The following is a 12,253-nucleotide window of genomic DNA, read 5'->3' on the forward strand; positions in this document are numbered from 1 at the left end:
GTGTTCGTTGAAGAGAAACGAGAAAGAGACTAAAACTAAAGGTCGCTCCGTTGTGGAGTCTCAAAAAATACTGCTGATTGTTAAATTGAAGGAAGCAATGAGGGTTGAGAGGTAGCTCTGCTCTGCTGAGTGGCTTTATGCCAATCACTTCACCCCTCTGGGCCATAGCCTCCTCATATGTATGTTGGAGATACCATTTCCTAACCTTGGGTATCTGGCAGAGCCGTACTAAAGAAGAAAAGGAGAAGTGAATGTAAGAGGGGCTTTGAGGAATATAAAGCATCAGAAAGATGTGAAGTTTCTTCCTGAGCCCATTAGACTCTGTGCTTTCTACCTACTGGATTTATTTTCTGGTTTTGTTTTTCTATCTACCATGCAATGCCAATAAATATAGCTTTTTAAAGAAAGCATATAATATAAGCCCAGATACTTTTAGACTACCACTCAAGTGATTCCAGCCCTAGTAACCTTCTGGGTGGAGGCAGCAGACTCAGAGTTCTGTATCATGGGGCCAACAGAGCTGAACAGCCACATCCTCTCTCTGCAAACATGTGGAGGTGATTCGCTGGACCTCATCCATTCTTGGCAAGAGCACAATGAGATAATTTCCATACATGTATCCAGTATAGTGCTTAACAAATGGTAGATACTCAAGAAATTCTTGAATTGAGAGAAAACAGGGTGTACAGGACATAGTTCAGGCTTAGTAGCCAGATATGCTTGGATTTGAACACTCAAGAGTAGTTCCATCATTCGCTGGCTATGTGATCTTAGGTAAGTTTCTTTGCCCCTCAGCCACAGTATTCACAACTATAAAGAGAATTATGGAGGGGCTTCTGTGGACCCCCACAATGGCTACGTCCAGCCCAGCTACAAGGGCCACCATGCAGTTGTTGCAAGGGTTAAAACACCTGACACATCAAGGGTACTTAGGAAAAGGCAGCCTGTTCTGGTTTTATTCCAATTTTGTTTGTTCAGTCATTCTTGGAATGGCCAGTTGTATTCTGAATCACCAAACCTCAGCCCTCAGCAAAGCAGGCCAAGCACATGACAGATGTTAAACAGCTATTCCCAGAGATGTCAGCCAAAAGGCCGAGGAGTTGGAGACCCTTTATTTTCTTCTCTGAAGCACAATTAGTTTGTCACAGCTGACAGATGATGGATGGGTATGCATCAGTCCAAGTGACATCACAGAATCCATCTGATTTTCTGTTTCTCATTCTAACCTCTTGAGTTTGGTTCTTTCCTTCCATCTGTGGACAATCCCCCGCCCCCTCCATCTCTCCACCCATTCCTCCCCCACGCAATCCCCGACCCCGGTCACATCCCCCCATCACTCACCATCACAGAAATGTGGAGGATGTGCATCTGCTCCTCAACAATCTCCGAGGGCTCCTGGAGAGTGGGGGCGGTGGCTTGGGCCAGCTGCCCGGAGCTGCTCATGGAGACGTGGAAGTACAAGGTGCCATTCTCCAGCCACTGCTGTCTCCAGTGCACCAGCGAGATGTCCGCTGCTGTGCCAGACATCTCTGCAAGACAAGACCCGAGGCACTGGGTGAGCCGTACGCCTGGCCTTGGTGCTCCAGGGAGGAAAAGAGCCCACATAATCAGGAGCTCAGAAGGCATCCATTTTTTGCCAGGATACCTTTCCTCACATCAAGTCTATGAGATAGGGATCATCACTTTCATTTATAGATGAGTCAACTGTGACCAAGATTCACCTAAAGTAACAGAGTAGTGGAAGCAGGGTTTGCACCCACATCTGTCTGAGGCCGTTTTTAGTACATCACATGTGATCAGGTAATTCATTCTACTCTGATAGTGGAATGAAACTAAGGATAAAAGTGCTTTCATTCTTTTGTGGCTATGGAACTAGAAGAAGATGAAGGAAAGAAATCCATGAAAGGAGTGGGAGTTGAGAGTGTGGATTCTTTAGAAGTTGAGCTGGAAGTACTCATGGCCAAACCTCGGAGCCAGAAAGGCCCAAGAGAGCACCAACTCAGCTGAGGTAGCTCAGGGTCATCTTGCATGGGAAAGGAGCTTGCCAAGAGGGTTGCCCTGAGCGTGTTCCTCTTGCTTCCACAAGAGCAGCTCCATTTTTTGTAAGGTATATACTGCACTCCCAAGCAAGGAAATGTTGGCATAAAGTTTCCTTGGCTTAAAAATACTGGCAAAGCTACTGCCCCATCCCAACGTTCTCATATAGCCAGTGAGGAGTGAGGACTTTCTAGTAAATTGTAAAATTCAATCTCCCAACTTGAAGTTTCTAACTCTTATCTCTATGCTGGTTTTCCTTCTGTAAATACTTTTAAAGTGATTATCATTTGAATAGTATTTTTGTTCAATGTATCATACCTTTTTATTAGTAAAAAAGGGTCATGGCATAAGATGATGAAAGTGTCATTGCAAGGGGATTGTACAATTGTTCCAAAGTCCCCTTGACTAAAGGTGTATGTGCCTGCAAATGTCCTAGAAAGACAAGGCCTATCAGTGAATCTTATGCATGAATACAAGAGAAGGGTGGTGGATTTCTTGGAGGATTATTAGGTCTGCATTCAAGGGAGACAAACAGGAGACAAATAGCCTTTATAATGTCCATCAGTAGACAAGTAGTCTTAGTGGTGCTAGAGGCTTAGAACCTTGACCCCTCCCTCCTGAGACAGCTATGACCTTGAGGCAGTATTCCTACAGTCTCCAAAGACCTCGAGTGCATTCACACACACACACAAACACACACACACGAGGAGAGCTGATAGGCAAGCTGAGTTACAGCAACTTATCCAATCAGCTCTCTCCATGTCCCACTGCAGCACCCATCATATCTGATGACACGGAATGAAAAAGAATCAACTTGAAAAGAAGAGGAGATGATACTACCAAATCACTTACTCATCACCCAATTCCACTGAACTATTCTTATATCATCAATGCCCAATAGACTCTCCCTCCTTGAGGTTCACAATCAAAAATCCTTAGGAGAAGAGTGTTTAGCACTTAATAAGGGCTAAAAAATGTTAGCTACGAATTTTTAAGTTAGATATTGATTTATCATCATCATCATCATTATTGATAGGAACAGGATCTAATTCATCCTTCAGCTGCTCTGAAAAAAAAGAAAAAAAACAACAAACAAACCATGAGCCATCCTTGACAGCTTGCTTTCTCTCCCACTCCTCATTCAGTTCATCAGAAAATCCTTCCAAAGTCATCCAACATTCAACCCTTTGCAGTCCCTCTACATCAGCCACATGGGACAAGGCGTCATGCTGTCTTGCCTGGCTTACTGCAAGGACTCCTTAACTTGACTCTCTTCTTCCACCCTTGTCCATTCTATTCTCAGCCAGGAGCCAGAGGAATCCTGCCAAGCAAAAGTCATCTCACATCACTAAGCCCTCCATTTACAGTCTTTGCATGGCCTCCTACTCATTCCAAGTAAAAGACAAAGTGGTGAGAACATAGTAAGTTATTAGGCCAAGCAAACACATGCTTGGGCTTCCCTTGCAGCTGGAAGAGTTGAACAGGCCTTGAGATAATCACGAAGGTTTGTCAGCACTTAGAGCACAGGCCCCAAAGGCCCTGAGAACCCATTGTCGTTCTGGGGAGGGGCTGATTGGGTGATCAATTTGAGTGGTAGGTCTCCTCTCAGCACCTTCTCTTCATCCCAGGCTGGGGTGATCTGCTGCCCCACTGACCCCCTCCCAGCCTTAGCACCCAAGGCCTTGGCAGTAGCTTCTCTGGCAGACAGCCAGCTGGGCCAAGGCAAGGTGAAGACATTATGGTAAATGGTCTGGCTCATTTTTCTCTCAGTGCATCAAAGCCTAAAACCAGAGGTCCAGGGAACCCAGGGCTGAAAGCTGCACTAGAAATAGCAGTGTCTAATTCAGTAGTTCCATGTGCTGCTGGCTAGGCAGGCACTCCACGTGCTGAGAGTCCCTGGAATGGCACCAGAAGAAAGCTCCAAGGTAGGCTACATCTGGTTGACACAGCCTGGCACAGTTGAAGGCGGAGCGAGCAGAGGGATGCTTGTGGAAATCTGAGCTCCTTGCTCCTAGCACTCTCTCCAGCCTGTGCCTGAAATCCCACTATTAAAGAGGCTTCCCCTTTCCATGTTCAGATGAGAAAGCAGAAGGTCTCAGAAGGTTAGTGACTTAAGTTCACTGGTGAATTTGTACCTAGCTAGAACCAGTGGATTTCCAGTCCATGCAATTTCTACTATGCCAGTTGCACTTACATCTCCTTTCTCTTGACTAAATTAGCCCATGAACCAAAACTAGATTGAGCTCTTTGTTTGCTACAGCGATGAGTGCACAATCAGCAGACAGTAAACGTTAAATGATAATAACAGTGTGTGAAACACAGTAAATATTGAATCACAGAGAATAACTCCGGACTTACTTTATTACAAAGAAAAGAAACTGTTGTTGAAGAGGAGAGAGGAGGGGTATGAAATGTTAAAGGGAAAAATGCTTTAGCAGAAGCAGAAGGCCTCGATCATTCATTCACTCATTATTCATTTATTCATGCATTTGTTTATTTATTCAACATACTTATCAAACACCTACTCAATCCCAGGCAGCTCAATAGCTCAGAACACGGAGTTAAATGAGACATAGCCTTGCCTTCAGGGAGCTCATAATCATTTAGCAGTGGAAATTCTACCCAGCCAAATGTCTCCTTGCCCATGTTACTGTCCATACACATACACACTCTCCATTGACCATGGTCCAGGCAACTGTGTGTTATCGGGACTATCTTCTACCATCACCCCTTCTTCACACACTCCATCCCTGCAGGACTTACAACTGTTTCTCAAACAAGGCAGACTCCCACTTGTCTCAGGCCATGAGTACTTTCTGCCCAACATTCCTAGCGCTCTCCTCCCAGAACCTATGAGCTGTCTTCTTCTCAGTGTTTGTCTCTCAGTCCAAATGATACCTGCTTGGAAAAGCTGTGCCTGTCCACTCTAGCTGAAGTGGTCCTCTTCACACACATCCAACCTTTATTATATCCCTTTTACAAAAACTTTCTACAGCAGTTATCATGATTAGAAATTCAGGCTGGGTGCAGTGGCTCACACCTGTAATCTCAGCATTTTGAGAGGCCGAGGCAGGCGGATCACTTGAAGCCAGGCATTTGAGACCAGCCCGGCCAACATGGTGAAAGCCCATCTCTACTAAAAATACAAAAATTAACCAAGCATGGTGGCATGTACCTGTAATCCCAGCTACTCAGGAGGCAGAGGCCCAAGAATCGCTTGAACTCGGAAAGTGGAGGTTGCAGGGAGCCAAGATTGCGCCACTGCACTCCAGCCTGGGCAACAGAATGAGACCCTGTCTTTAAAATAAAATAAAATAAAATAAGAAAGAAAGAACGAAAGAAAGAAATAAATTTATGCTTTACATTTCCTTGAACATGTGTTTATTGTCTCTCTCTCCAGGAGAGCAGAGACCTTGTGTGTCTTATTTCCTGCCATCTCTCACGCACTTTGGAAAGTGCTTGGCACATAATACATGCTCAGTAAATAATTACTGAATCACTGAGTTACATACATATATGTATATATATTTCAAATACTCATGCCCTTTTTCATCTTTAAAATGCTTAATGCATATATATATATATTTCAGTGATTTGGTATATATATATTTATGTATTTACATATATTTCAGTGACTCAGTAACACACTTACTTGCACACATCCATAATAAAATGGTGGAGGGACTAAAAAATAGAATTCAAAGAGTGTTACATTTCATCAGAGAATTAAAAAAAAAAAAGAAGAAGAAGAAGTAAAGGTCGATTGAAAACTCCAAAGTGGGAAAAGACTCTCCCAGCTTGCAACCAAGAACTACTTCCAGAAGGTGGTGGTAGGAGCATTGCAGAGGATGGACAGATTCATGTCCCTCAGAGAGGAGGAGGAGAAGGCATAGAGATCAGCTGGTCATCGCAGGGGCATGAAGCTGCGTGTGTATGTCGGAGTGGAGCAGAATGTCAGGTGAGAAATGTAGTTCAGGGCCTGGCGTGGTGGCTCACACCTGTAATACCTGCACTTTGGGAGGCCTAGGTGGGCGGATCACGAGGTCAAGAGTTCGAGACCAGCCAGGCCAATATGGTGAAATCCCGCCTCTACTAAAAATACAAAAATTAGCCAGGCATGGTGGCATACACCTGTAGTCCCAGCTACTCGGAAGGCTGAGGCAGGAGAATCACTTGAACCCGGGAGGTGGAGGTTGCAGTGAGCTGAGATGGTGCCACTGCACTTCAGCCTGGGCAACAGAGTGAGACTGCATCTCAAAAAAAAAAAAAAAAAAAAAAAAAAGAAAGAAAGAAAGAAAGAAAGAAATGTAATTCACACACAGAGTTAAGGGCTTTGAATGCTTGGTGATACTGTGTACATTTTATTCAGAACCAGTAGAGTACACTTGGTCAGAAAACCAGTCCTGTGTCCCTTAAAAACAGGTTAATAGAACAGTAACATGACCAAAACCAGTTCTTGAGATTCTCTGCTGATTGATTTTCCAATTGCATTTTCCCTTTTCTCTTCCCCTACTCCTTCCATATAAACATTTCATTGAAGTCTCCAAGTCATATTACAATCAAAGTTTAAGCAAAAGGGGGACTAAATGCATTGGGTCAGGAACCAAGATGATTCCCATAAAGGCAGATTATGCTGACATGATGAATATAAAATGAAACAGCAGATATTAAAGTGGGAGAATTGGTGCACCATGCCTTTTGGCAGTAGGCTGACTCCAGTGCCTGCCTCCCTCCCACCCTGGATAGCTTGGTTTTATATTGGAATCATAAAGAAACACAGGGATTGCCTTTTCACCTTTTTCTGCTCTCCCCCATGGGCTGCAACTCGTGAAATATTCAACAGGCTCAAATCCCCTCAACTGCCCCACAGAAGCTGAGAGAGAGGATCAGCCTTCATCAGTGATTCTGGGTAGACTGCCATCCTGCCTCGGTGGCCACTGATGCCTTTCAGCCTCCCGGAAAAGAAATAAAAAATCCCAAAGGCATGTTGTGCTTTTAATCGGCTTGTTCTTCCTAATCTATGGCACTCATTGTATTTTTATTTAATTCCTGAAGGTCATTAAGAAAATAAGCAGCTCTTCTCATCACCAGCCATCTTGGTAACATCTCCCAAGTGGCTAACTAACCGGCCTTCTGATTCTACAGCACCAGCTGACCCTCCAGCAGATTATTTGCTGAAGCCCAGAGAAAGCTTCCAATGAGTTTGCAAATGATCTTTTTCTCACTGTGGGGAAAGCAGACATTACATGAGATGAACTCACCGCCCGGGCAGAAAGAGTTGGGAAAGGTAGTGGTGTTGACTTTAACCAACCTTGCCACTAGCTATTCCAGCATTCATGGGTGATTGTCACACATCAAGTCTTGCTGAGTGAGCCTGGGAAATAATCGCAAATACTCATGCCCTTTTTCATCTCTAAAATGCTTAATTAATGCAAAGCTTTATCATCTCTCTCATGGGCTATTGCAAATGGTTCTGTGCCAGTCAGGGTCTCATCAGAGAAGAGGAGACATACTCAGGAAGGTCAATGAGAAGTGTTTAATGAAGGGAGCATTTACAAAGGCTTGGGCTAGGTTAAGGCAAACTAATGATGAGCAACGAAGTACTCCCACATTGATAACAGCAAGGAATTGTTACCACCCTAGGCCTGAAGGGGCAAGGGATGGTGGGGATGGGGGATTATCAAACCCTAAAAATGCCATAGCTGTAGGAAAGGGCTACCATATAGCTACCAGATAAGAACTATAGCTTTTTCTAAAATAATCCAGCCACTGCCAATGCACAACCTAGGATGGAAGCTTTCAAGAGGGTAATTTCCCAACCTCATCCTCCTTCTACCCACCAATTTTTTGCAGGTGTCTCACACAAGTTGACCTTGACTAAACGCCCAAGAATGCTTAAATGAAACAAATCATATAAGTCAGCCTTCCTGGGTGCACAGCAGGTGGGAAAGGGGATCTCAAGAAGTAAATGAATAGGCTCCTTAACAGGTATCCCTACCTTCGGGCTTCCTTCCTTCCAGCCAACCATTAAATGGCTACCAGGATGAAATTTCTAACTTGTCAAACTGACCATATAATTCCATTGCTCAAAACCCTCCAATGTTTTCTACTATCCCTCATAATAAAACCTAATTTATTGAACCAGACACACAAGGCCCTTCCTGGCCTGTTATGTGCATTTCTCCCCAGTCTGATCTCTTCCTATGCCTTTCCTTGCACTTAAATATTAATTCTCACCAGATATTTATATAACGTACCACATATACTATGTGTTTTTCCTAATTTAATATGTTGTGCTCCTCCATGCTTTCATAAGGAGGAATATTGCATGCTGCATAAGATCACAGGGTCTGGAGACCAACTGCTTGAATTTGCATCCCAGGTCCCATGTGTTCAACCTGTGTGTTTTTGGGCAAGCTCTTCGCTTCTTCATGCCTCAGTTCCCCCATCTACCAAATGAGGATAATAACAGCACCTGCCTCACAGGGTCGTTTTTAGAATCAAATGAGATAATACAAACAAATTAGCTGTTAGGTTGGTCTTGATACTTAGACAGCACTCCACAGTTACATTTGTTATATATTACTTCATATACATAGTTATAGTATCCTCTTTTACTACTGTCTTGGTGTGTGTATATATATATGTGTATATATATATATATATATATGTGCATATGTATGTGTGTGTGTGTGTGTGTGTGTGTGTGTGTATATATATATATCTTAAAATAGTCTATACAGCTGACTTCCCTTATTGGATCCTAGTGCAGGGACATGTCAGAATTATTTGTGTAGCCTGGTGCCTGGTACAGTGGCTGAACTGAATAGGGGCTCCATAAATGTTCTGTATGTTTAATTGAGCCGTCCCATATTTGAAGTCAGATGAGTGTTTCCAGAGGACAGAGAGAAGAGACAGCAACTTGGGGTGTCAATAATGGCTGGATTCCCATACAGCAACTCTACAGAAATTTACCTAACATCCTGGAGCATGCACATGAAAAGAAAGAAATGTTAATTTTCAAGGAGCTTATATTTTCATGAAGTGAGATAGGGGAAGTTCATATAGAAAATGGACTCTGTTATGATTCTGTTTAGACATGAGTATGTGTATAAACAGCTGGAAAAAAAATACACTGGACCACGAAGAATGGCACTCACTAAATAGTGGGATCAGAGGTGATTTTAATCATATTCTCATTCACTTTTCTCTACGTTTTTTATACTGACTATATTTTACCTCTGTAGCAGATGCAAATACTCACTTTAAAGATTCATTTAGTCAACCAACCTCTTCTGAGAGCTGGCATTGTGGGACTCTGTCCTCAGGAGCTTAGTCCAAGGGGCTGAGAAAAGACATGCTATAAATAGCTATAAAGCAAAGTAGAAAGCTTAGAGGAAAGGAGATTACTTCTGGCTGGATCTAAAAACTCTTCATGGAGGAGTCTCAAAGAATTGGCAAGATTTCAACAAATGGCTGTGTGGCAAGAGGGCACTTCAGATGGAGAATTGGCACAAGGGAAGGAAGGCAAGAAGGTCACAAATGTACAAAGGGATACAGTGGGGGGAACCGGTATAAAACGCAGAAGCCACCATTATAGAGAGAGGCTGGGGGTTACCAACTCTTGCCCATGGAGCATCACCTAGCAGAATAATACAAGTGCCAGGTCCCACTTGGGGCTCCTTTATGCAATCAGACCAAGCCCGAGCTCAGAGGTTAATAAAGCTCTCCATATATCATGAATTAAGATGACAAGGTGGATGGACTGATGGGTGAATGGGTGAATGGATGGACCACAGTCATTCTGACTTAATTAAACAGCCTGGGTTAGTGAAGAGAATACTAAATTTTGAGTCAGAAGCTTATATTTTTGTGATCCCTCTACAGCACCTGACTGGTATCCTGGAGCACAAATTACAGAGCCTCTATGATTTTCTTTACTTGTAAAATGGGGGTCACAGTCTGGCCTACTTACATCACATCTAATGTAGAACTGAGAGAAAATAAGGCCATACATAGCAACATGCTTGGAAATCTGCAAAGTTTTACAGTTAGTACTGAAAGCAAATGCAATCATCCAACGACATACTTCATCCATCAATATACCTTCCAATAATTATCTACTGACTATCTGAAATGTGCCAGGCACAGTGCTAGGTCCTAAGGATAGATTGGAGGAAAAGATCAATTTGACTACTATCCTCACAGACTTTCCAGTTTAGTCTGGATATTCCTTTGTTCCCTCTAAGCAGCAGCAAGCATTTCCCCTTGCTTCAGTTTTTTCAGTCATCCACCCATTTAATCATTAATTCATAGTAGAAGGCGATGCCTGTCTAGGACATTACAGTCTTCATTATTTAGCATGCTGCAGGTGTGCAATAAATATTTGTCAAATCAATGTATCACTAAATGTACATTTTCTGAGTTTCTTGTCTTCAAGAAAGTCACAATCTAGGAGAGCAGAAAAAGGAAAGTCAGCAAAGATGATAAGTGTGTGGTAATGACCACAAGATAGGAGGTACAGCTTGTTACAGGAACACACGTGAGAGGTCAGTTAATGCTCCTCATTTATCAGGAGATTGGACAGGGCAAGCAGGGAGAGTCTATAATCTGGACATTTCATAATTCTAAGAGATCCTGATGTCAGGCCAGGTTAAATGCCCACAGGATAATGCCAATGGTATGCTAGGTTTGGGAGGTCACCCGTGGGGACAGAAGGTGGAGAAGTGGCAGGGGCCACAACATGGCCAAAGCCCTCTGGCAGCAGCTGGAGAACAGACTCAAGCTCTTCTGGAAAGAATGGTACTCTTCAAATAGTGGGATTAGAGTCTCCAGACTCCAGAGGTGCCTTAGACTCCTCCTCCCCAACCCCAGCTGTCAGCGCTCATCTCTGCCTCTGCCTCCAATCTGCCCATTACCACCTCCTTTGGGAACTGCATCTTTTACATGAAACTGTTTTCCCAAGCCACTCAGTGAAGATAAATAATACAGTTATACCCAGTTAAATAAGGGAGGGGAAGAGAAGAATTAAGAGCTATTGGCAAGGGAGAAAAGCATATCGTTTCAGATTAGATTTGGAAATAGATAGAGGGTTGCTGGAATTGATTCTCATTACTCCTAGTTATTCTCTCCCGTACCATTTCCCTCTCTCCTTGCTGTATTTCTTTGCTTGGTCTTTGTCATTTCGCTTCATGATATGCCCTTGGTTTCTATGTTTGCATGCTCTCTCTGTCTCTCTTTTTAAAAACACAGCCCAATGTCAATGAGTTTTTCTACTTCTTCTTCTCCTCTTCCTTGTCCCACAACATTGCAAACTGATGCAGAGAGTGGGTGACTAAAGAATGGAGACAGGAACTAACCTTTGCTAACACCTACTTACGTGCCAGGCTAAGGGCTTTCATTCATTGTCGCATTTAGCCCTCATAGGAAACCCACATAGGTAAAGTAGATAGTAGAACACCGAGTTTTCAGCTGAGATGTCTGAGGCCCTAAAAGGGGACTACACTTTTCCAAACCCTGATTCACAGATTCCAAATTCAGTGTTTTCACCACTGTCCTACATAGGCTGAGAAAGGAGCTTGCATATTTGAGTAAAGAGATCGAGGAATCAAGTGTATGCCAGGAGGTGTGATATGATAAGTACCAGGGCAGTAGGCATCCTTCCAGGTCACTCAGGTGCTCTGCCTATCCATTTCATCATAGTAAAGTCCTTTGTTTCCTCTGTTTTTAAGATGCAAATATCTCCTGGGAAAGAGGTATATGAAGCATTCTGTCTTACGGTGAATGAGTTTTTAAGATCACTTTGCTCCTTCCTATATTTCACTGGGTTGACCTTTAACAAATTAAGTTCACCTCTCTGAGCCTCACTGGCCTCACATGAAAGAATGGGAATCATAAAATCAATCTCTTATGATAGCTGTGAGAATAACAGGAGATAATGCATTGGAAGGAGCCTAGAGCAGCATTTAGCCTATGGAACTCCCTGTCAGTTGTCTGTCTTCTCGTCACTCTTTTCTATCTCACCACTGTCAAGGCAAGAAGCACCTGGTTGTTTTGAGAAAAGTGGTGGGGGTGGGAGGGGGGGTGACAGTACCAAATATAAAGAAAAAGGAGGCAGCAGTCACAGAGATAAAACTTCCTACTTTACTTGTAAACAGTTTCCAAGACCCTTCCACCTTGTCCCCAGTGCCCCGTAAACCTTTTAAAGTTATCCCTA

General features: G+C 43.3%; 1 protein-coding gene across 3 annotated transcripts in view; it reads right to left on the reverse strand.

The window, feature by feature from the left end:
• Nucleotides 1-12,253, reverse strand: part of ASTN2 (astrotactin 2) — a 991,946-nt gene that overhangs the window by 866,873 nt on the left and 112,820 nt on the right. For all 3 annotated transcript variants that reach the window (NM_014010.5, NM_001365069.1, NM_001365068.1), the window contains exon 2: nucleotides 1,342-1,529. In NM_014010.5, the coding sequence (NP_054729.3) occupies nucleotides 1,342-1,529 (188 nt within the window). The remainder of the gene's footprint in view (nucleotides 1-1,341; nucleotides 1,530-12,253) is intronic.

Source organism: Homo sapiens, chromosome 9 (assembly GCF_000001405.40).
Source record: "Homo sapiens chromosome 9, GRCh38.p14 Primary Assembly".
Lineage (NCBI taxonomy): Eukaryota > Metazoa > Chordata > Mammalia > Primates > Hominidae > Homo > Homo sapiens.